General features: G+C 44.7%; 2 protein-coding genes across 30 annotated transcripts in view, besides 2 other annotated features; both read left to right on the forward strand.

Moving 5' to 3' along the window:
* Nucleotides 1–6,684, forward strand: part of GALNTL5 (polypeptide N-acetylgalactosaminyltransferase like 5) — a 63,484-nt gene extending 56,800 nt beyond the window's left edge. For all 7 annotated transcript variants that reach the window (NR_033169.2, XM_006715862.5, NM_145292.4 and 4 more), the window contains 2 exons: nt 1,399–1,548; nt 6,401–6,684. Coding sequence is in view for 6 of the 7 variants with exons in the window: in XM_006715862.5 (XP_006715925.1) it covers nt 1,399–1,548; nt 6,401–6,556 (306 nt within the window). In the remaining variant the exon portion in view is untranslated. The remainder of the gene's footprint in view (nt 1–1,398; nt 1,549–6,400) is intronic.
* Nucleotides 11,119–11,413: a silencer, noted in NCBI's record as "tiled region #5574; K562 Repressive DNase matched - State 12:CtcfO". NCBI's record gives its function as "represses a minimal TATA promoter and a strong SV40 promoter by Sharpr-MPRA in K562 cells {active_cell/tissue: K562}" and the evidence as "EXISTENCE:reporter gene assay evidence [ECO:0000049][PMID:27701403]".
* Nucleotides 12,264–12,963: a silencer, noted in NCBI's record as "silent region_18829". NCBI's record gives its function as "represses an Ori minimal core promoter by ATAC-STARR-seq in GM12878 lymphoblastoid cells {active_cell/tissue: GM12878}" and the evidence as "EXISTENCE:reporter gene assay evidence [ECO:0000049][PMID:35858748]".
* The window catches only part of GALNT11 (polypeptide N-acetylgalactosaminyltransferase 11), a 96,667-nt gene continuing 84,245 nt past the window's right edge, over nt 12,429–24,850 (forward strand). For 18 of the 23 annotated variants that reach the window (NR_163956.1, NR_163959.1, NR_163957.1 and 15 more), the window contains exon 1: nt 12,429–12,639. Coding sequence is in view for 1 of the 23 variants with exons in the window: in NM_001304514.2 (NP_001291443.1) it covers nt 12,588–12,639 (52 nt within the window). In the remaining 22 variants the exon portion in view is untranslated. Of the gene's footprint in view, nt 12,640–13,724; nt 13,790–14,351; nt 14,474–24,850 lie in introns of all 23 variants that reach the window. The other 5 variants (NM_001371459.1, NM_001371468.1, NM_001371472.1 and 2 more) reach the window with 3 other exon arrangements.

Here is a 24,850-nt window from a genome sequence, read left to right on the forward strand (position 1 = left end):
CTCATTACCTGGGTGATGAAATGACCTGTGCTCAAAACCCCCAGACATGCATTTTACCCATGTAACACGCCTGCACATGTACCCTTGAACTGAAAACAAAAGTTGGAAAGAAAAAAAAAAACAAAAACTGGTGTTAGGAGGAAAATGCTCCTTCATGTATCAGCTAGCTTTTGCTGTATAACAAACTATCCCAAAACACAGTACTTTAAAGCAACAAGCAATGGTTATTTCTCATAATCCATTGTATCGCTAAAGTGGTTCTTCTAGGCTTAGCCAGAATAGCTGAGTTGTGTTGGTGTGAGAGCTACTCACAGAGTGGTTAGAGTAATTAAACAAAAGAGTTATGGCAAGTATACTGTAAGATGAGAAATCAGGTGCACAAGATTTATATCATAAGCACGTTCTTTGGGGTATTATTTTTAATAATAAAAATCAGAAGCTACCAAAGTGTCCAAACAACATAAGACTTCAAAAATAATTTCACACAACATCAAATGAAAAAAAATCAAGTTATCTTAATGTTTATGTCTACGTGAGTTTACATATATACCTGGGTTAATATTGACTCACTCGGAATGTTAGGACAAGAAGTGAATTGTGTTTTCTTCTGTGTGCTTTCCTGCATTTGCCAAATTTTCAATGGTTATATTTTACTTTTGTGTAGTAAAATTAATAGCTATTAAAAGTGAGCAACATAAGGAGTTTTAGGTATTAAAAAAGATGAATAATTGAATTCAGTCATGATCAGCATTTCTCTTGTTTCTTGCCTACATCCAGCAATTCCTGTAGGTAATTATGAGAGAGGCAGAACCCCTTCATCTTCATTGCTGGCTCTCAGTCAGGCTTTCTAAATTTGAACCTTGTACTCTACTGTGTAACTTCTGTGTCATTGGGCAAACTTCTTAACCAATCTATGTGTTAGTTTCCTCATCTGTAAAATGGGAATAATCACAGAATCTGAATTATAAGGCTGTTGTGAGAATTAAATAAGAAACTTAATTAGCCATTATTATGGGTTTTTGTGGTTGTCGTTTTTTGTTTTTGAGATGGAGTGTCGCTATGTTGCCCAGGCTGGAGTGCAGTGGCACGACCTCGGCTCACAACATCCACCTCCTGAGTTCAAGCAATTCTCCTGCCTCAGCCTCCCAAGTAGCTGGGATTACAGGCATGCGCCACCACGCCTGGCTAATTTTTGTATTTTTAGTAGAGAGAGGGTTTCACCACGTTGGCCAGGCTGGTCTCAAACTCCCTTCCTTAGGTGATCTGACTGCCTTGGCCTCCCAAAATGCTGGGATTACAGGCATGAGCCACCGCACCTGGCCATTATATTGGTTTAAAAGCAGTTGCCTGTTAGCAGTAATAATGCATTCGTATGTTTTTTGTTCTTCTTATGCCTAGATCTGGATGTGTGGAGGCCAACTCTTTATAATCCCCTGCTCTCGAGTAGGACATATCAGTAAGAAACAAACTGGAAAACCTTCTACAATCATCAGTGCTATGACACATAACTACCTAAGACTGGTGCACGTTTGGCTGGATGAATATAAGGTGGGGAACACATCCTTGACTTGGAAAATGTATGCGAGGCCGGAGCAGGACTTGTTCTGAGGAAGCCTGCTGCTGCCTTTCCAGATCCAGCGTTTGTTCTGGAGGTCATTATCCTAAGCAAATTAACACAGGAACGGAAAACCAAATACTGCATGTTCTCATTTACAAGTGAGAGCTAAACATTATACATGGACACAAAGCAGGGAACAACAGATACTGGGGCCTTCCTGAGGGTGGACTGTGGGAGGAGGGTGAGGATAAAAAACTACCTATTGATAGTTATTGATAGTTGTTCTTTTCTCTGTTTTTCTTGAATACAGCACCCCTCTAACCCCTCATCAATCCATCCCCAACCCTATTCTCAGTTCATCCTAAGCTGCTACTCTTACATCTCATTATTTTTGTTTTAATTTCTGGGAAAACTCAAGTCTCTCAGAAGTAAATCAATCAACATGAGCAGTCTTTTTTATGGAGGTGCTGGATCTATTCCCTCCGTTCCCACCTCCAGGGAATTGTCCCACACCTGAAGCAAATAGCTTCTCCTTGCCCCGTCCCCATGTGCAACTCTTTTTTTTTTTTTTTTTGAGACGGAGTCTTGCTCTGTCGCCCAGGCTGGAGTGCAGTGGCGCGATCTCAGCTCACTGCAACCTCTGCCTCTCGGATTCAAGCGATCCTCCTGCCTCAGCCTCTGGAGTAGCTGGGACTACAGGCGCATACCATCAGGCCTGGCTAATTTTTGTATTTTTAGTAGAGACAGGGTTTCACCATGTTGGCCAGGCTGGTCTCAATCTCTTGACCTCATGATCCGCCCACCTCGGCCTTCCAAAGTGCTGGGATTTATAAGAGTGAGCCACCGTACCCGGCCCATGTGCAACTCTTGAGATTCTTTTTCTTCCCCGCTGATTTCCCAAGCAATGTGGATGCTGCTGGTCTTGAGACCGTGTGAGAACTTCCACTACCACTTTTCGACCAACAGCCAAAGATTTCTGTATCAAAACTATACCCTGTCATCTGTGCATTTCCCCAGGAGTTAAGTACCTTGCCAGGACTTACAAGGGTGCATGTCCATCCAGAAGCTATGTGTAAATAAATACAAAAACCCCAGCAAAATCTCATTTCAGATGAACAAATAGAAATGTGTAAGAATCTCTCTGACAGTGTATGTCCTGGTCTTCATCTTATGTTTCTCTAACTGAAAAAAACACACTTTAATTATGAAGGTAATAATGCTCCATTTCTTTTGTAATTAGAGAAATGTGAACTAAAACTTCAAAGAGCTATTTCAACACCACCACTTAGATTAGCAGAATTTTAAAAGTCTGACAGGCCTGGCTGGGCACAGTGGCTCATGTCTCTAATCTAAGCACTTGGGAGGCCGAGGCAGGCAGATCACCTGAGGTTGGGAGTTCAAGACCAGCCTGACCAACATGGAGAAACGCCATCTCTACTAAAAATACAAAATTAGCCGGGCATCATGGCACACTCCTGTAGTCCCAGCTACTCAGGAGGCTGAGGGAGGAGAATCGCTTGAACCCAGGAGGCGGAAGTTGCAGTGAGTCAAGATTGTGCCGTTGCACTTCAGCCTGGGCAACGAGAGCAAAACTCCGTCTCAAAAAAAAAAAAAAAATCTTATGGGCCCGAGTGTCAGTGAGCAATAGGATCTCTCAGCTTTCTTTCACTTATGGGAGTGTTGACTTTTACAAAATTACATCTGAAAATGGCGTGGCAGCACCTACTAAAGTAAAAGATCTGAATACCTTGTGATTCAGCAGTTCTGCTCATGCATATGCTACAGAAGCGCATGCTTTTGTGCACCAGGACACATGAACAAGAAAACTAATAAACAGCATTATTTGTTTTAGCTAAAACTTAATACAATACAAATACTCATCAACAGTACAGTGGACAACTGTGATATATTTAGTCGCTATAATCCTATACAGCAATGAAAATTAACTGGGCTGGGCATGGTGGCTCACACTTGTAATTTCAGCACTTAGGGAGGCCAAGGCGGATGGATCACCTGAGGCCAGGAGTTCAAGACCAGCCTGGCCAATGTGGTGAAACCTCATCTCTACTAAAAATACAAAAAAAATTAGCCGGGCATGGTGGTGGGCACCTGTAATCCCAGCTACTCGGGAGGCTGAAGCTGGAGAATTGCTTGAACCCAGGAGGTAGAGGTTGCAGTGAGCCAAGATCACACCACCGCACTCCAACCAGGGTGACAAGAGCAAAGCTCCATCTCAAAAAAAAAAAAAAGAAAAGAAAAGAAAGAAAACCAACTATAGTGTATAGTCATGTCTCACTTAACGATGGGAATATATTATGAGAAATCATCATTAGGTGATTTCATTGTTGTGGGACCATCATAGCGTGTACCTACACAAACCTAGATGGAGATGGTATAGCCCATTGCACACCTTGGCTATATGGTATGGCCCATTGCTCCCAGGCTACAAACCTGTATGGCATGTGACTCTACTGAACACTGTAGGCAGTTGTAACACAATGGTAAGTATTTGTGTATCTAAACATATCTAAATAAAAGGTACAGTAAAAGTATGGTATTATAATCTTATGGGACTACCATTATGTACATGGTCAGGCGTTGACTGAAACTTCATCACGTGGTACATGACTGTACCTACAAGAGCATAGGTAAATTTCAGAGATGTAATGGTGAATGAAAGCAGCCAAACACAACGGAACTTATACTGTATTATTTCCTTCCTGTAAAGTTCAAATGGGTAAAATTAAACCTATAATTTGTGCATGAATAATCAGATATCAAAGCTAGAATAAAAAGAAATTAATACGTAATCAAGATAGAATGTAAAACGAAGGAAAAGGGCAATGATCAGGAAAGAAAAAGCAGGGGGCTTTCAAATTGTCTTTCAAAATCAGAACATATAAACATATCTCATTTTTTTAAATAGTTCCTTTAACTGGATCTACCAAAATTGATCCCATTAATAAATAGTACCAGTTGATAAGCATTCTGATTTCCTCGGCTTTTTGCTATTTTCTTGACAATCCTCAAATGAGAATTCTTTTTTTTTTTCTTTCTTTTGAAACAGAGTCTTGCTCTGTCACCCAGGCTGGAGTGCGGTGATGCAATCTCGGCTCACTGCAACCTCCACCTCCCACGTTCAGTGATTCTCCTGCCTCAGCCTCCCGAATAGCTGGGACTACAGGTGCATGCCACCACACCCAGCTCATTTTTTATATTTTTAACAGAGACGGGGTTTCACCATATTGGCCAGGCTGGTCTTGAACTCCTGACCTCATGATCTGCCTGCCTTGGCCTCCCAAAGTGCTGGGATTACAGGCATAAGCCACCACGCCCAGCCTTGAAATGAGAATTATTGACATACTTTTTTGTGCATATTTTTGCAAATATATCTTTGGAATAAATTCAAGACATGAACTTGCTGGGGCAAGAGTTAGTGCATTTTAAATCCTGATGGGGTAATATCCAAATGATCTTCACTGTCTGTCTCGTCATCTGTGCTGCCATCAAATGTATACGAAAGTGCCTGTCTCCTCATATTGGTTATAGCTGAACTGTTTGTTTGTTTGTTTTAATCAGATAGGTTAAAAAACATCTCATTGTTTAAAATTGTATTTCATTACGACAACTCTTGAGCTTATTTTCATGTTTGTTGATTTTTTTTTTCTGTGAACGCTGGTCAGGGATCTAGATGGTTGAATTGAACATAGCTATTTCTGCATGGTTTACTGACTTTCACAGAGCAAAAAGTTAACTTAAAGGGATATGACGTGTTAAGTATAAAAATCAATGGATTGCATAATACAGCACAATGGGAAATTTAGTGACTGATTGGGACAAGAGAGGGCTTTGGACAGGAAGATGTGCCTAAGGTCATCCATGCTGTCTTGTCTCCAAAATTATGGCATCCTCCCCCACCTGCAGGCTCACCCCCTGCACCAATCCACCCTGGGGACCTAGGGGTGGCAGAATGCGATGGCAAAGACCTACAGTGGTCACGGATCCCCAGGGAGAATCCAATATGGCATGCCCATAATACATTAATTTGGATGAGCAAACTCCTTCTGTCATTCAACACTATCACTACCCTGAATGCCAGGCCTGGGAAAACACAGATGAAAAGATAAGGGTTCTGTTTGCGAAGGGCTTCAGTCTACTTAGAATACCTTTTTTCAACATGGGGCCAACAGAGTCCATTAGACATTCATTCTTGGGGCTTCCTTAAGTCAGAGCACACAAAAAACTAACCAAGTGTGGTAATAATGACCACCTCAGACATGACACTTAGTATGTGCCAACCATGCTCGCCCAGGGGCTTTGCATGTCCCTATTAGACTGTTCAACCCTCACAAGCACTTCGCAAGGGGAAGACTTGCCTAGGGTCACACAGACCCTGAATGGCAGGGCCAGACTTTGAATCCAGGCTGTACTCCTGCAGGATCTATTCTCCCTTTACTACATCATCCCCCATTTCTGAAAAGACAAACATACTGATGAGGACCAGGGACTAACGGGGTTTGTCCTTGGGTATTGTTGAAAAAACAGGAGAAAGGGGATACCGCAATAGGTGGCTGTGCTTCTTTGGCTCCTGAGAAGCAGGACCCAGTCTTCCTGGATCCCGCTAGGGTGCCATGGCACGTGCTGTGAACATATGCAGGGTGGGTAAATCCGAGGTCCCATAGTATGTCTCTGCCTTCATTCCCTAGACAGAAAAAAATTGGGATCTGGAGGGCTTTTTTAGTTCACATGATGAAAATACATGCGTCTATGTTAGATATAATCATTTGATCAGCAAAGATTTGTTTGGTTGAACGTAACGACTGACTCTATATTTTCATTTAGGAGCAGTTTTTTCTTCGAAAGCCTGGTCTGAAATATGTCACCTACGGAAATATTCGCGAGCGTGTTGAGTTAAGGAAACGACTGGGTTGCAAGTCATTTCAGTGGTATTTGGATAATGTCTTCCCAGAGTTGGAGGCATCTGTGAACAGCCTGTGAAAGGAAAACAAATCACTTTCATTAATAAAGGGTTAAAAGTCTCCTAGTCATTCAACATAGTGTCACAAGAGTGTAAGTTTGGAACATCGTGGAATTACGTGAAATGCAATTAAAAAAATATGACCAGACGTGAGTGCCTTTATTTTCCCTTCAATGAAAATTCTTGATACTTTGTTACTCATCTGCTACTGAATCTCTGAGGTGACAAGACCTTGAACATTAGAAAGGTAAGTGGTCACACAGTTACGACTCTATCATACAGCTGACTGAGTTAAAGTGCATTTGTTTACCACAGCCACCTGGCCCTGGTAGACTGTAGGGACTGCTTTCCCTTTGCCAACCCGGCTTCTGCCCCAGACAATCTGTCGCGATTGGCTTCTTAGGGAGCCATGCTCTCGTGACTTTGGCTGAGCTGCAGCAAGCTCCTTTCTTCCTGCCAGGGTAGATTCTGGTAACGACACCTTACTCAGCTGCATACCTGAACATCTGGCGTCCAGTCCACCTGCCTGGGTGTCTGGTCAGCTCTCCAGGCCAGCTTCCCCATCTGTTCCTGCCAGCCCTTCTGTCATCTGAAGATACTCCGTCTTCTGTGAGTCTCGCTCTGTCGCCAGGCTGGAGCATAGTGTTATAATCTCGGCTCACTGCAACCTCTGCCTCCCGGGTTCAAGCAATTCTCCTGCCTCAGCCTCCCAAGTACCTGGGATTACAGGCGCACACCACCATGCCCAGCTAATTTTTGTATTTTTAGTAGAGACAGGGTTTCACCATGTTGGCCAGGATGGTCTCGATCTTTTGACCTTGTGATCCGGCCGCCTCGGCCTCCCGAAGTGCTGGGATTACAGGCATGAGCCACCACGCCCGGCCAATTTTGCCTTTTTCATGTCTGTCTCCTCCTATGGCTCTGGCCTCCAGCTCTCCAGACACTTCTTGACTCTTGGTAAACTGTTTAGCTGGGATCAGGGAAGCAGCAGCTGGGTGACTTGTCTGTCCTGTGTAAACACATTCTCAGATGTCCAAAGTACTTCTTTGGCATCTTTGGAGTTAGACAGATCACTGTTGGTTTTACGCTGGTGATGGTGGCTAAGAAGGTGAAAGACACTGAATTCAGAAAGAGAGACAGATAATGAGAGAAGAAACACATTGAAAGGGGCAAAAAAAAAAAAAGTGGAAGAGAATAGTCTATGCTGGAAAGAAGGTAAGTTAGTTTTTACAGCAGAAAAACAATTTGAATCATCTATTGAGCTCCTTCAATCAGACAGGTATTCTTCTAGTTGCTGGGAATGAAGTTTTTTTTTTTTTTTTTTGCAGACAGAGTTTCACTCTTGTTGCCCAGGCTGGAGTGCAGTAGCCCGATCTCGGCTCACTGCAACCTCCACCTCCCGGGTTCAAGTGATTCTCATACCTCAGCCTCCCAAGTAGCTGGGATTACAGGCACCCACCACCATGCCCAACTAATTTTTGTATTTTTAGTAGAGATGTGGTTTCATCATGTTGGCCAGGCTGGTCTTGAACTCCTGACCTCAGGTGATCCACCCGCCTCGGCCTCCTAAAGTGCTGGGATTACAGGTGTGAGCTACTGCGCCCGGCCGCAAATAACCCCTTTATACCTATCTATTTAGCAAAATACTGCATAAAATCTATTGCTAGACAGACATGAGCTGATCTATTACAGACAGCCACTTGATTGATCCTTTAAAAGGTTGATCTGGCAGCACAAAACGAGTGCCACGCTTGATTGTATTCTTGGCCCATATATTATTTATACCTTTCCTGCCTCTAGAAAGTCATTTAAAAATTAATCATAATAAACCCATGAGTCTACTAAAATTATGATAAAATGCAAAACAGGCCAGGCGCGGTGGCTCACGTCTGTAATCCCAGCACTTTGGGAGGCTGAGGCGGGTGGATCACGAGATCAGGAGTTTGAGATCAGCCTGGCCAACATGGTGAAACCCGGTCTCTACTAAAAATACAAAAAAATTAGCTGGGCATGGTGGCGCACGCCTGTAATCCTAGCTACTCAGGAGGCTGAGGCAGGAGAATTGCTTGAACCTGGGAGGCAGAGGTTGCAGTGAGCTGAGATTGCACCACTGCACTCTAGCCTGGGCGACGGAGTGAGACTCCGTCAGGAAAAAAAAAAAAAAAGCAAAACAGAACCCGGCTCAGTGGCACGTGCCTGTAATCCCAGCTATTTGGGAGGCACAAGAATCGCTTGAACATGGGAGGTGGAGGTTGCAGTGAGCCGAGACCAAGACCAAGATCACACCACTGCACTCCAGCCTGGGTGACAGAGACTGTCTCAAAAAACAAACAAACAAAAAGCAAAATAGAAATCTTGTAGCTGAAAAAATAAAAGAGAATTATAGTAGTATAAATATGGAGTATCTTCTTAAAGTAACAGTTTTTTTCTAGTTGAAATTTGAGAATATATATATGTTATATATAATTATTATATGTAATATATAAATGATATATATGTAACATTAAAAAGTATATTTTTTTTCTGGTAAGCATAAAGAATGGATGCTGTAAATATCAGCTTTCCCAAAAGCAAAAGACAGGAGTGTTCTCTTTTGTTAAAAGCCGTGGGCCTAATATTAAGTCTTAGTTTTGTAATGTAATTTAGTTTAGGTACTAGATAACACAGATAAGTCCTAGAAATTGTTCAGCATGTCCCTTGGACAGTATCTTCTTAAATATTGCTTCAGTTGACCCTAAAATAGAAAAGAAATCAGAATCAATATCCAAATATTTGGTGTGATTAAAGGGAAATTGATACTTGCCTATAGATGGCAATTTTTTGTTTTTGTGTGGAAATTTAAAAATCTGATTTGTATTTTGAAGCTAGTTGAAAAGTATCTGGTAACCTGCTTAGGGTTTCTTACAAAACAGTTTTTGGTATGATGGAATGCTCAAACAAGTCTGAAATTAAGCCCAGGAGTTCTGTAACTAAAACATCCTTCTAGGAATTTATCCCAAGACACACCTGTATGAAACAACAACTAAGAAGAGCTGACATTTGCTGAGCTTTTACTACGTTTCATACTCTGTTATAAGTAGTCTGCATGGATTATCTCCTTTCATTCATACAACAACTTTATGAGTTCTACTGCTATCCTCATTTCATAGATGAGAAAACGATGGTTAGAATGTGCCCAGGTTAACGTTGCCCTATTTGGCTAATAAAAATACAGGATGCCTGGTTAAACTTGAATTTCAAATAGACAATAACATTTTACTGTACATATGGCTACATTCTGAATGTGTCTTCCATAATTCATGTTGAAACAACTGACAAAGCAACAGCACTACAGTTTGAATACCTTTTATCCCCACCAAAATTCATGTTGAGGCTTGGACCCCAGGGTAACAGTGTTGAGACAGAGTAGGACCTTTAAGAGGCATTTGAGCCATGAGGGACCAGCCCCCCATGAAAAGATTAACGCAGTCACTGAGAGTTCCCAGTCTCTTGAGACTGGATTAGGTACCTTGAGAGCGGGTTGTTAATAAGTAACATTGCCCCTTTAGCCAGTGCGCGCTTCCTCTTCCGATTCTCTGCCACGTTATGATGTAGCACAAAGCCCTCACCAGCAGCCTACCAGATACGGCTGCTGGATCTTGTACTTCCCAGCCTCCAGGAGAGTGGGAAAACAAATTTGTTTTTAAACTACCTAGTCTCAGGTATTTTATTATGGCAGCACAGATGAAGACAAGCCTCTCACATATTGCACAGGATATACTTAAACCACAAAATTATTCTTAATCTGGAATTCAAATTTCAGGCCATCCTGTATTTCATCTGGCAACTGTATCCAAGGACAAACAATAACACGGCCCTTACATGATCCTAATCAGCGTGGCCTCAAAGATTGTGTTTAACCAGAATGATACGCTGAAAAGAGCATTTTAGTGTCATTCTGTATGATAGTGAAAAATTGGAGCTAACCCAAATCCTCAATTACGAGAATAATGGTTAAGTAATTATTGCACATTAATCAGGTAGAATAGTATTTAAAGTAATAAACAGATGCATCTCATACTCATCAGGTTGGCAAATATTTAAATATCTGATACTATCAAGGGTCAGGAGAAGATGAAACAATGGAAATTTACATGCCCTGATTAATCCTAGAGCATGATTTCAAATGTTAATTTGTGTATAAATCACCTGGAAATCTTGGTAAAAATGCAGATTTTAATTAAGTAGGTGGAGCACAAGACTCCCCATTTCTAACACACTCCAGGTGACGTTGGTGTCGCTTGTTGCTGGACCACCATTTGAGTAGTGAGGCCCTAAAGGTCTGGTCTTCAAACTCTTTTGCTTGAGTATATACTAAAATAATAAGGTTTAAATACAAGAACTTAGTATCCCCTTATACATATTTAAGGTGATATTTAACATTTTTCATTACTAGTTTAGGTAGTTGGAAGGATTACTTTCTGGAAACATATTTATGTATTTAAATAAACTTGTAATACACTTTTAAATATACCTAGTAGACTTTGCCCTAGTTTGCCTGCCACTGCTGTGAATAGTTTCTGAGGGGGATCCCAGCAGGATTGATCCCCAATGACGCTTATTTGATATTATACTATGTATATTTTACATGAGCTGCAACCATTGAAGGAAACTGGGCAAAGATACCTGTGTGCTGTCTGCACTGCCCTTGCAAGAGAAACCAGTACCTGAAATATCTGTCAATCTCCAATCAAGACACAAGCATGGTAGAAGGAGTCAAAAGCATTCAACTTGGCACCCAGCAGCAGTTCTCTTTGGCTGAGGGAAGTGGCCACAAGACTCAGCTGGGGGCCATCAGCGGCCTACACACCCAACAACTGGAGAAATGAGTCCTCAGTCCTTAAGGGGAAACCTGGGTGGTACAACATGGCATCCCCTACACCCTGACAACCCCATGGGGTATCTGTGGAAGAGGGGCTGGGGAATGTGGTTAGCTCAGTTCAGCTCAAGAAGGCCACTACTTTGGTTCAGGTGGTGCTCTTTAATTTATAGTAGCTGTAGAAGTTCCTCCATTGCTACGCGTGTACCCCATCAGACTTTAATTGTGAAGCAATGAGTTCTTTAAAAAAGTTCAAAAATATTCTTAACCAAGTGGGATTTATTTCAGAAATGCAAAGAAGATTAGTATTAAGATATTCTTCAATATAACTTGGCATTATTGGCCAAAGATGAATGCCCACACCATTTTTCTTAAAAATTGCCAATTCCCCTTTTATGGTATTTGTATACATTGCACTATTATCACCAAGGTATGAGTGTTTTTTTCACCACTTCTCTCTTTACACCTTAATCTACATTTTCTTCTATCACAAGTGGCGTTTAACTTCTTTTAATATGTTTAAGGGCATTTGTCTTTTTTTTTTTTTTTCACTTATGGGGTCTCGCTGTATTGCCCAGGCTGGAGGGCAGTGGCTATTCACAGGCGCGATCCCGCTACCGATCAGCACAGGAGTTTTGCCCTGCCCGGTTTCCGAGCTGGGCCAGTTCCCCACTCCTTGGGGAACCTGGTGGTCCCTGCTCCCGGGAGGTCACCACACCGATGCGGAACACAGATGCGTGTCGCCGCGCAATGGGCACAGCGCATACAGCGCAGAGCTCCCGGGCTCAAGCGCTGCTCCCGCCTCAGCCTCCGGAGTAGCCGGGGCCACAGGCAGGGCATTTGTCATTAATGGGGTCTTTTGAGACCGCGGGTGACAGACAACAGGAGCCAGGCCACGCGCGGCGCCTCTGCGCGAACGCTAGGGAGGACTCAGCGCGCGGCGGCCGGTGACGTCAGGGCAGCGAGAGGTTTCGTCACCGCGGCGCGGGGGCGGGGCCGCCTGTCACGCGGCGCCGGCGGACGCGCGGCGCTGGGCGGAGGCAGCGGCTCGGGGACTGGGCGAGGGCCCTGGGCCTGAGGAGGCGCGGCCGCCACTGCGCCCAGCGCCTGCGCGACGCCTGGCTGCTGGGCCCCGGGGCAGTTCAGCCCGCGCCGCTCCTGCGGGTCGGACTGGGGCTGTGGCGGGAGAGAAGATGCCGCAGCCCGAGTCCCAGAAGGCGGCGATCCTGGGCTGCGGGCAAGGCGGTGAGTACCCTCTAGGCGGCGGCCTCCCGGCGTCCCTCAGCACCTCGAGAGCTGCGGCGGCGGCGGCGCGCGGGGCCTGGGCAGGCTGGGGGCGGCGGCGGGGCAGCGCCTGGCTCCCCGCGGGTCCTGGGCTCCCGCACGCCCCCTGGGCGAGGCTCGTGTCTCCGGGAGACGCCGCTGCCCCCGCGCCTCCCCCAGCGTCTCCTGAGGCTTGTTCGCGGGCGTGGGGGCGAGGACCAGGGCGCTGGCCTCGTTTTCGCGTATTTAGGACGGAGGCACACCTGATCCTGCAGCCTCCCCCAGCATTTCCTAAAATGAAGTCCAGATCAGTATTGTCCACTTTTTAAAATTAAAAGTGCCCAGAAATAGAATAGTTCACACATACACAAAACTAGGGAGAATAGTGTGGAAGGAAATTTAATCTCGGGACCCCAAATCACTAAGCCAAAGTCAAGCTGGGAGCTGCGTCAGGCAAACCTGCCCCTAAGTTTTGTTCCTAAGACAGCTGCAAAGATAAAAAGCCACACAGCTCCCTCACCCTTTGGCCAGGAGGAAATTCGCTGTGGACCTCCACATCTTTACCCTGAAACAGTTGTGTGGAATTGCACCCTGGCAGTGTAAATTGACAGCTTGTCTTCGCAGGTGAGGAACAGGGACAGAACTCAAGTCATCCTTCTGCTCACCTGAGACAGATGCATGTCTGACGGCTTCCTCTGCCCTGTATTTATGTAAAAATGCAGATTCACTGAGCCAGACTAAGGCACAAGTGGCTATTCCTCTGCCTGCCCCATGGCGTAAATTGTGTGTTCAGTAAAAGGCAGAGCAGAGGCTCAAAAGAATGTAGCCGTTTGTCTCTCATCTTACCCATGACCTGGAAGCCGCCACTTTGAGTTGTCCCACCTTTCCTGCCCGAACTAGTCTATACCTGTATTTGATTGAAGACTCATGTTCCCCTACAATGTATAAAACTAGGCTGTGCCCCCACCACCTTGGGTACATGCTCTCAGGATCTCTTGAGGGCAGTGTCATGGGCCATAGACACTCATTTCGCTCAGAATAAATCTCTTTAAAAATTTTTTTATTAGCCGGGTGCGGTGGCTCACGCCTGTAATCCCAGCACTTTGGAAGGCCAAGGCGAGCGGATCACGAGGTCAGGAGATCAAGACCATCCTGGCTAACACGGTGAAATCCCGTCTCTACTAAAAATACAAAAAATAAGCCGGGCGTGGTGGCAGGCGCCTGTAATCCCAGCTACTTGGGAGGCTGAGGCAGGAGAATGGCGTGAATCGAGGAGGCAGAGCTTGCAGTGAGCCGAGATCACGCCACTGCACTCCATCCTGGGTGACAGAGCGAGACTCCATCTCAAAAAAATTTATTTTTAATTTTTGTGGGTACATAGTAGGCATATGTATTTATAGGTACATGAGATATTTGATATGGCATAGAATGCATAATCACATCAGGATAAGCAGGGTATCCATCTTCTCAAGCATTTATCCTTTGTTAGTGCTACAAACAACCTGCAAGGCTCTTGTATTGGTTTGAACCCCGATGACGCACCAACAACCCCCACGACATGAGGCGGTGTGGAGCAACATGCTGTTTTAATAAGCGCCTGGGTGCAGACGGGTTTATGCCTAAATGGCATCAGCCCCAAGTGAGGAATGGGTTTTATAATAGCATCAGCCCCAAGTGAGGAAGGGGTTTTATAGTCCTCTGTAAGCAGGAAGTGTCCCAGTCTGACGTGGCTGCTGCGTAAATGTGTCCGGAATTGGTTCCTTCCAGTGGATTCTTGGTCTCGCTGACTTCAAGAATGAAGCCACGGACTGTCGCGGTGAGTGTTACAGTTCTTAAAGATGGTATGTCGAGAGTTTGTTCCTTCTGATGTTCAGATGTGTCCAGAGTTTCTTCCTTCTGGTGGGTTCGTGGTCTTGCTGACTTCAGGGATGAAGCCGCAGACCTTTGCAGTGAGTGTTACAGCTCTTAAAGGTGGCACGTCTGGAGTTGTTTTTTCCTCCCAGTGGGTTCATGAGCTCACTGACTTCAGGAGTCAACCTGCAGACCTTCGCAGTGAGTGTTACAGGTCTTAAAGGTGGCATGTCGAGAGTTGTTTGTTCCTCGCAGTAGGTTTGTGGTCTCACTGACTTCAGGAGTGAAGCCACAGACCTTCACAGTCAGTGTTACAGCTCATAAAGTTAGTGCAGACCCAAAGAGTGAGCAGCAGCAAGATTTATTGCAAAGAATGAAAGAGCAAAGCTTCCACAGCATGGAAGGGGACCCGAGCAGGTTGCCGCTGCTGGCTCCAGTGGCCTGCTTTTATTCCCTTATTTGGCCCCACCCACATCCTGCTGATTGGTCCATTTTACAGAGAGCTGATTAGTCCATTTTAGAGTGCTGATTGCTCTGTTTTACAGAGTGCTGATTGGTCTGTTTTACAGAGTGCTAATTGGTCGGTTTTTACAGAGTGCTGATTGGTGCGTTTACAAACCTTTAGCTAGACACAGAGCGCTGATTGGTGCATTTACAATCCTTTAGCTAGACAGAAAAGTTCTCCAAGTCTGCTACCCAGTTAGCTAGTCACAGAGCACTGATTGGTGCATTTACAATCCTTTAGCTAGACTGAAAAGTTCTCCAAGTCCCCTACCCGATTAGCTAGACACAGAGCACTGATTGGTGTGTTTACAAACCTTTAGCTAGACACAGAGCCCTGATTGGTGCATTTACAATCCTTTAGACAGAGTAGTTCTCCAAGTCCCCACCCGACCCAGAAGCACAGCCAGCTTCACCTCTCAATCCCCCCCCTCTAAACAGGACACCCCAACTGCTGTTGGGAATTTGGCCAATGACTGCTGTAGCTACTTCCTGCTGGATAGGGGTGAAGAAGGGGCCCTGCAATTGTAGTGTCCTCCAGAGGGGAACTCTTTAGGCCAGTGAAAGGGCCAGCAGGTTGGTCCAGGGGTCCTGGTAGAAGTTTAGTTGAGCTCATTTGGAGTTCCATTTGTAAGACCATCTGTAGCTTGATGGTCTCAATTCTAGAGGAAACAAATTTGAAAAGGAGGTTAAAAATACAGGGCCCGAAGGCAAGTAATAGCAAGATGGCTGCCACAGGACCTAGAAAGGGGAGAAGCCATGTTGTCCAACTCCAGAGGTTGGTGTAAGAGTTTGAAAGGCGTCTGATTTCAGAAGCCTTTTCCTATAAATGTTGGGTGGCATCTCATACTATCCCTGACTGGTTAGTGTAAAAACAACACTCTTCCCCTAAGAAGGTGCAGAGTCCTCCTTTCTCAGCAGTGAGGAGGTCTAGGCCTCGGTGGTTTTGGAGAGTCATTGCTGCCAAAGAGTCTATTTGGAATTGTAGTTACTATCCTTACTGGATAGATTTTGTTATTTCTTGCAAACTCTCTTGAGAAATCCTTTGAGAGTGTGGTAGTAGGATAATGAAGTAGGTAAACTGGCTATTCCAGTTCCTGTAGCAGTGGCCATTTCTAACCCTATAGGTAGGGGTATTAGTTGTATGGCTCTGCACTGACGGACTTGAGCTTTGAGGGGTACTGATAGGGTCTGATTTCCACAAGATTAGAAGTTAGAATAATATATGTTTACACTGTTAACTTTTAGCAAACTTTACTTTTGTTGAAAACCTTGTAAGTTTGGGATTTCAATTATTCTTTGCTATTAATAAGACCTCGTTCAGTCCATATTAACTTAGAATTGATATAGATGGCTCCTTCCTGATTCTGTAAGTACTTTAAGGTTTGGCTGAGTGCAAACAGCTCGCACATTTGAGCAAACCAATTATTAGGCAGTTTTCCTAACTCTGCTTCTACAGTTCCCTTATCATTTACTGAATACCCCTTGTGTCTTTTTTCCTTAATCACCCAGGAGGAACCATCTATGGTCCTGTCCTGAAGGGAGTTCCTCCTAGATCTGGTCGGACCTTTGTATGGTAGTTAGTTAAGATTTAGATCCCCTGTTAGGAAACCTGCTGGGTTAAGGATTTTTGATAGGAAGGCTATGGGTTGTCAGTGGCCTCAGTGCTTTTGGGCTACGCCCTTGTTTACACTGACAACAAGGTGGTATTGGAGTGTTACAGAGTTACAGAGAAGGCCTTCAATTATCAGTTATAGGTTTTAACTTTACTGTGGCTTTTAAAGGAATAGGGTGTAGGGTCCAGCCCCACAGGGTCGGTGGGTTTTTTCCCCGTGTGCGGAGACGAGAGAGTGTAGAAATAAAGACACAAGACAGAGATAAAAGAAAAGACAAGAGGTAGAGGAGTAGAGTCTTCTGTAAACTCCCACGGGGAAAGGGAGACTCCCTTTCCTGGTCTGCTAAGTAGCGGGTGTTTTTCCTTGACACTGATGCTACCGCTAGATCACGGGACGCTGGTGTTACCACTAGACCAAGGAGCCCTCTGGTGGCCCTGTCCGAGCATAACAGAAGCCTCAACTCTTGTCTTCTGGTCACTTCTCACTATGTCCCCTCAGCTCCTATCCCTGTATGGCCTGGTTTTTCCTAGGTTATGATTGTAGAGTGAAGATTATTATAATATTGGAATAAAGAGTAATTGCTACAAACTAATGATTAATGATATTCATATATAATCATCTCTATGATCTATATTTAGTATAACTTCTTATTTTATATATTTTATACTGGAACAGCTCGTGCCCTCAGTCTCTTGCCTCGGCACCTGGGTGGCTTGCCGCCCACAATAGGGTACACTGTTTTTTCTTTACTACTTCTATCTCTCTTTCTCTTTGATGACTTCTTTGTCTCTCTGAGTCCCTCTTTGTCTGTCTCTTCCTCTCTCTCTTTGCCTTTCTATGTCTCTCTCTCTGACTCTCTCTTTGTCTCTGTCTCTTTGACTTTGTCTCTTTCTTTCTCTCTGACTCCTTTGTCTCTCACTTCCTCTCTCTGTGTCTCTCTCTGATTTTCTGTTTCTTTCTCTCTTTCCTTTCTGCTGGTCTTTCCCTTCCTCTGCCAGCCACTTATGCTGCTGTTCTCCCCTCTCCTTCCCGTTTTGATGGCTTTGGCAGTGTAAGACTGCCACCTCCTTGGGTTTTTGCACTGCATGCAATAACTCCATGGTTTCCTTGTGGTATTTAATGGGGGTTCCCCCAGAGGTTAGAAACTCCCTTTCTTTCCATATTGCAGCACAGGCATGTAGGATTAGATAAGCATACTTGCTACCTGTATACACATTTATTCTTTTTCCCTTTCCCAGTTCTAAGGCTCAGGTAAGTGCCACTAGTTCTCCTGACTGGGTGCTGGTCCTTGGGGGAGGAGGCTTACTTTCAAGTACGGTTACGTCACTAACTATGGCATAACCTGCCCTTCGTATCCCATTCTCCACAAATGAACTTCTGTTGGTATATAGATTAAGGTCAGGATTAGCTAAGGGGACTTATAAGAGGTCATCTCAGGCAGCATAAGTCTGGACTATAATTTGTTGGCAGTCATGCTCGATTGGTTCCCCATCCTCTGGGAGAAAAGTGGCAGGGTTGAGGGCCACGCATGTATGTATTTGAAGCACCGGTCCCTCAAGGAGTAGTGCCTGGTATCTAAGTAGGTGGTTGTCTGATAGCCATAAACTCCCTTTGGCACTTACTATGCCATTTACATCATGAGTAGTCCAGACAGTGAGATCCTTTCCTTGTATTATTTTGATAGCCTCTGACACTAGGATGGGTACTGCTGCAACTACCCTTAAACAGTGAGGCCAGCCTTTTGCTACTACATCAATTTCCTTACCTAGGTGTGCCACCAGTTGTCAGACACGAGTCTGAGTAAGGACTCCAAGAGCTATCCCTGCTCTCTCTGTGATGTATAAAGAGAAGTTTTGTCCTGTGGGAAGGCTTAAAGCTGGAGCTTGTACTAGGGCCTGCTTTAAGGTTTTGAAGGCTGTTTCTGCCTCTGGTTCCCATTCTACTAGATGAGTATTTGCCCTCTGGGTCTCCTTGATTAGAGTATAGAGGGGCCTGGCTATCTTGCTCTATCTGGGGATCCATAGTTGGCAAAAGCGGTGATTTGAAGGAACCCCCACAACTGTTTTAAAGTCTTAGGGTGAGGATAAGCCAGTATAGGCTGTATTCGTTCCTTGCCAAGGGTCCTGGTCCCTCTGGCTAAGATTAGGCCTAGATATTTGACCTGCTGTAGGCAAAGCTGGGCCTTTGACCTAGATGCCTTGTACCCTTGATTAGCTAGAAAATTCAAGAGATCTAGAGTAGCCTGCTGGCATGAGGCTTCCGAACTGGTAGCCAAAAGTAAATCATCCACATACTGAAGGACCAGAGTGCCTGGACTTGAGAAGTGGCCTAGATCTTGGGCCAGTGCCTGACCAAACAGATGAGGGCTATCCCTAAACCCTTGGGGCAAGACGGTCCATATAAGTTGGGATGTGTGGTCTGTGGGATCCTCAAAGGCAAAGAGAAACTGGGAGTCATGGGAGTCATAGTGCAGGGGAATACAGAAGAAGGCATCCTTGAGGTCCAGAACAGGGAACCATTCTGCTTCCTCTGGTATTTGAGAGAGCAGGGTATAGGGGTTGGGTACAACTGGATATAGAGGAATTACTGCCTCACTGATGAGTCTAAGATCTTGCACTAGACTCCACTGACCGTTCGGTTTTTGTACTCCTAGAATTGGGGTGTTGCAGGGACTGCTGCATTTCTTTACTAAGCCTTGAGCTTTTACATGTTTAACAATATCCTGTAATCCTTTATGAGCTTCAGGCCTTAAGGGATATTGCCTTTGATAAGGAAATGTGGTGGGATCTTTTAACCTGATTTGGACTGGGCAGGCATTTTTTGCCCTTCCAAATTGTCCTTCCAATGCCCAGACTTCAAGGTAGATTCCTTCCTCAAGTAGGTGACACCAAATGGGTAACTTGTTCCCCATATTCATGTAGATAATAGCTCCAGCTTTGGCTAACATATCCCTCCCTAATAAGGGTGTGGGACTTTCAGGCGTGACAAGAAAGGTGTGTGAAAAGAGCAAAGTCTCCCAATTACAACTGAGAAGGTGGGAGAAATACCTGGTTACAGGCTGTCCCAGGATTCCTCGGATGGTAATGGACCTTGAGGACAGTCGTCCGGGACAGGAGATTAACACTGAGAAGGCCACGCCAGTGTCCAGGAGGAAGTCAATTTCCTGGCCTTCAATGGTTAAATGTACCCGGGGCTCAGTGAGGGTGATGACATGAGCTGGCGCTTGCCCGAGGCACCCTCAAGTCCTGTTGTTGGATCATCTGGTTGGGGGCTTCTGACCCAGAGAACCTTTGTCCTCCGGGGCAGTGCGCCTTCCAGTGATTGCCTCGGCATAGCGGACATGGATGAGGGGGTGGCTTGTTTCTCGTTGGACAATCTTTTTTAAAATGTCTTTGTAAACCACACTGATAACAAGCCCTACCGGGTGATTGGCCTGCTCCATTTTCTGTCCTTTCTGAACCACCAAAGGTTTGTTTGTCTGAGGGCCATGACTAAGGCTGCAGCCTTTCTCTGATCTCGCTTTTCCTTTTGGGCCTGTTCCTCTTGGTCCCTATTATAGAACACCAAGGTTGCCAGGTTTAATAATGCCTCCAGATTTTGTTCAGGGCCCAGGGCTTGCTTTTGGAGCTTTCTCCTGATATCCACGGCTGATTGGGTAACAAACTTATATTTTACAATCAATTGACTCTCAAGTGAGTCTGGTGACAGGGGAGTACATTTTCTTAAGGCCTCCTGTAGCCACTTAAGGAAGGCAGAAGGATTTTCTTCCTTTCCTTGAGTTATGGTAGACATCATTGAATAATTCATGGGCTTTTTCCTAATTCTCCTTAGTCCTTCTAGAACACAGGTCAACAGATGTTTACGACTCCAGTCCCCATGATCTGAGTCAAGGTCCCAGTGGGGATCCATACTGGGGATGGCTTGCTTACCAGTAGGGAATTTGTCCCTTTCTTCAGCTGTCATTCTGCCATTTACTTGACTAAGGTACCAGGTATCTCCAAACTCTCAGGCTGCAGCTAAAGCCGCATTCTTTTCATTAAAGGCCTGGGTTTGATCTAACAGTAGCATGACATCTCTCCAAGTGACATCGAAGGTTTGCCCTAGACCATGTAGGACATCTGTGTACCTATCAGGATCATCTGAAAACTTACCCAGGTCTGCCTTGATCTGCTTTAAATCAGAGAGGGAGAAAGGGACATGTACCCTAGTTGGGTCAAATTCCCTCTCCCTACAACTTGAAGGGGACATAACCGATAGCCCAGGGGTTTTTGTGGTTCTTTGGAGATTTCTTTGCTTATTTCCTTCTGGGCAGGGGAGATTAGAGGAGGCTTATCATTAATAGGAAGGGTAGCTATAGGGAGGATAGGATATGGGGGTAAGCTGAGAGGTCCTCCTATGGGATGTAAATTGCAAACTTTGCATAGTTGTGTATTCTCCTTCAATGAAAAGAAAGCTTGGACATAAGGTGTTTCACTCCATTTGCCTTCCCTCTTACAGAAAAGGTCAAGCTTCAGGATAGTATTGTAATTTATACTTCCCTCAGGTGGCCATTTTTCCCCATCAGAGAGAGAATATGGGGGCCAGGCCATAGTGCGGTAAAAATGAGCCACCTCTTTTTCAGGGTTTGCGGGTCAAATTGGTCCCAGTGGCTTAGGATGCATTTCAAGGGTGAGCCTGTTGATGCCTGATTGTTTCCCATCTGAAAGACAAAACCGCCCGCAGTTTTGGTTTGTTTGTTTCTCCCCCTGCCCAAGAACCCACAATGGTCCCTGAACCCTGCTGATCGGAATAGTTGCACTCACCGATGCAGCAGCAGAAACACCTCTTGCCCAAGAACCCACAACGGTCGGTCCCTGGACCCTGCGGATGGGAATAGTTGCACTCACTGACGCAGCAGCAGAAACACTAGTTTTCCTCCTAGACCACAAGGAGGACCGAGGAAGGTCGGATTTAGTGGCCCTTACCAATGCATTCTCAAAAATCTGCACCCTTGCCTGTCCTCCTAGACCACAAAGAGGACCGAGAAAAATTGGATTTAGTGGCCCTTACTGATGCATTCTCGAAAACCTGTTAGGGTCCTAAGCATTCTCCAGTTAGTATTGGGACTTTACCCCTCCTGTAAAGATGTTATGCCCCAAAAATGAAGTGGAGGGCCATATCCTGAGGGAGGGGAGGGATCTCCAGAGTTGGAAGAGTGATGCCTTTTTGTCCGCACTTATATGAATACAAGAATGTCATTTCTGAAGCTCCCCGTATCCTAGCTTCTGGAATAGCTTTTGTTAGGCCTGCTAGTCTGAGGAGGGATCCTAAAATTCCGGATAAGACAGTCCCCCACCCTGATGGGGCTTTGGGCAAAAATTATGTCTTTCTAATTGGTGAGCCCGGGTGCCTAAAGAAGGTTAACAGAGTCCTGGAGTTTATACTAGAAATGATTCTTACAGGAGAAACTAGAAAAGCACCAGAGACAGGGAGTGGTTTCCAGAAGCGGGACTAGCCTCAGAGAAGAGAGGCAAGAGAAAGTTTTTCTGACAAGCATTAGGACCCAGGAGGCAAGGGTCAGGATAGGTAGGATAGATGGGCGAGTCTCGCTTGGGCAACATGACTTCGAGAGTTCTGCTCATGGCCACAGGGTCAACCAACTTGTTGTCAGGACCCCGGAGCTGAATGGCTTTCCTCTCTGTCGACCCTCGGCTCAGCCCGGAAGTACAGGAAAAGCGGAAAGCTGGTTCCAGGCAAACCAACACTCCCAACTCCGAAGAGTCAGGGGTTGTTAGAGAGCCCTATCCCGGAAAGCCTGACACCCGTGTCTTTAGTCCAGCGGCTGTGCTAGTCAGTTTTAACTGGCCGCTAGTCACTTTTAACTGGCCGACAGGTGCCTGGTATTTAGCCACCGAATTCTAAGGGAAAACAGGACAGAATAGCAAGTGAAAGGGGTCAGATGGTACTCACTGCTTGGCAATAGCGTCAGCCCCAAGTGAGGATGGGGAAGGGGTTTTACAGTCCTCTATAAGCAGGAATTGTCCCAGTCTGATGTGGCTGCTGCGTAGTGCCCGCTGGCCTCCCTCTTGATCTTCAGGGGGTGTCTTCTGCCCAGCTCTCTTCTTGCTTCTGCTAACTTGCTGATGCATGCTGCTGGCGCAACTGTCCTTGCGCATTTGGACTGGGCTTGAAGAGGGAGGAAGTATTCATTCCCTTAAGCTTTCAGGCTTGGGGGAGAATCTTTCACAACCCAATGATACTCTTTTAAAGTTACTTTAAAATGTGCAATAAAGTTTTGTTGACTGTAGTCATGCTGTTGTGCTATCAAATACTAGATCTTATGCATTCTATTTAACTATATTTTTGTATACATTAACTGTCTCTCCCCTCACTCCCTTCTCAGCCTCTGGTAACCATTATCTAGTCTCTCTCTCCGTGAGTTCAATTGTTTTAATTTTTAGCTTCCACAAATAAGTGACAACAGGCAAAGTTTGTCATTCTGTGTACCTGGCTTATTTTACTTAACATAATGACCTCCAGTTCTATCCCTGTTGTTGCAAATGATGGGATCTCATTCTTTTTTTATGGCTGAATAGTACTCCATTGTGTATATGTACCATGTTTTCTTTATCCATTCATTTGTTGATGGACATTTAGGTTGCTTCCATATCTTGGCTATTGTGAACAGTGCTGCAGGAAACATGAGACTGCAGACCTCTTTGGTATACTGATTTCCTTTCTTTTGGGTATATACTATGAGTGGGATTGCTGAGTCACGTGGTAGCTCTATTTTTAGTTTTTGGGGATCCTCCAAACTGGTCTCCATAGTGCTTGTACTAATTTACATTCCCACCAATGGTGTATGAGGATTCCCTTTTCTCCACATCCTCACCATCATTCATTATTGCCTGTCTTTTGGATATAAGCCATTTTAACTGGGGTGAGATGATATCTCCTTGTAGTTTTGTTTTGCATTTCTCTGATCAGTGATGTTGATCACCTTTTCATACACCTGTTTGCTATTTGTATGTCTTATTTTGAGAAATGTCTATTCAGACCTTTGCTCATTTTTTAATAGGATTATTAGATTTTTTTCCTATAGCATTGTTTGAGTTTCTTATGTATTCTGGTTATTCATCCCTTGCCAGATGGATAGTTTGCAAATACTTTCTCCTGGTCTCTAGGTTTCTCTTCACTTTGTTGTTCCTTTGTTGTACAGAAGCTTTTTAACTTGATGTGATACCATTTGTCCATGTATGCTGTGGTGGGGTATTACTCCAGAAATCTCTGCCTAGTTCAATGTTCTGGAGATTTTCTCCAGTGTTTTCTTTTAGTAGTTTCATAGCTTGAGGTCTTAAGTCTTTAATTCATTTCAATTTGATTTTTGTGTATAGTGAGAGATAGGGATCTAGTTTCATTCTTCTGCATATGTATATCGAGTTTTCGCAGCACCATTTATTGAAGAGACTCTCCTTTTCCCAATGTATGTTCTTGGCACTTCTGTCAAAAATGAGTTCGCTGTAGATGTATGGATTTGTTTCTGGGTTCTCCATTCTGTTTCATTGGTCTGTGTGTCTGTTTTTATGCTGGTGCCATGCTATTTTGGTTACTATAGCTCTTTAGTATAATTTGAAGTTGTAATTTGGGGTTAGATAATGTGAAGTCAAGTAATGTCATTCCTTCAGTTCTGTTGTTTTTGCTCAGATAGCATAGGCTATTCTGGGTCTTTTGTTATTCCATATAAGTTTTAGGATTTTTTTTTTCTATTTCTGTGAAGAATGTCTTTGGTTCATTGGTATTTTGATAGGGATTGCATCGAATCTGTAGGTTGCTTTGGGTGGTGTGGACATTTTAACAGTATTGATTCTTCCAGTTGGTGAATGTGGAACATCTTTCTTTTTGTGCGTGCATGTCTTCAATTTTTTTTTTCCTTCCTTTTGAGAGAGTCTTGCTTTGTCACCCAGGTTGGAGTGCACTGCTGTGATCTTGGCTCACTGCAACCTCCACCTCCTGGGTTCGCATGATTCTCCTGCCTCAGCCTCCTGAGGAGCTGGGATTACAGTTGCCCACCACCACACCCGGCTAATTTTTGTAATTTTAGTAGAGATGGGGGTCTCTCCATGTTGGTCAGGCTGGTCTCGAACTCCTGACCTCAGGTGAGCTGCCTGCCTCAGCCTCCCAAAGTGCTTGGATTACAGGTCTGAGCCACTGTGCCCAGCCCGTCTTCTTCAATTTCTTTTATCAGT

This window comes from Homo sapiens, chromosome 7 (assembly GCF_000001405.40).
Source record: "Homo sapiens chromosome 7, GRCh38.p14 Primary Assembly".
Taxonomy (NCBI): domain Eukaryota; kingdom Metazoa; phylum Chordata; class Mammalia; order Primates; family Hominidae; genus Homo; species Homo sapiens.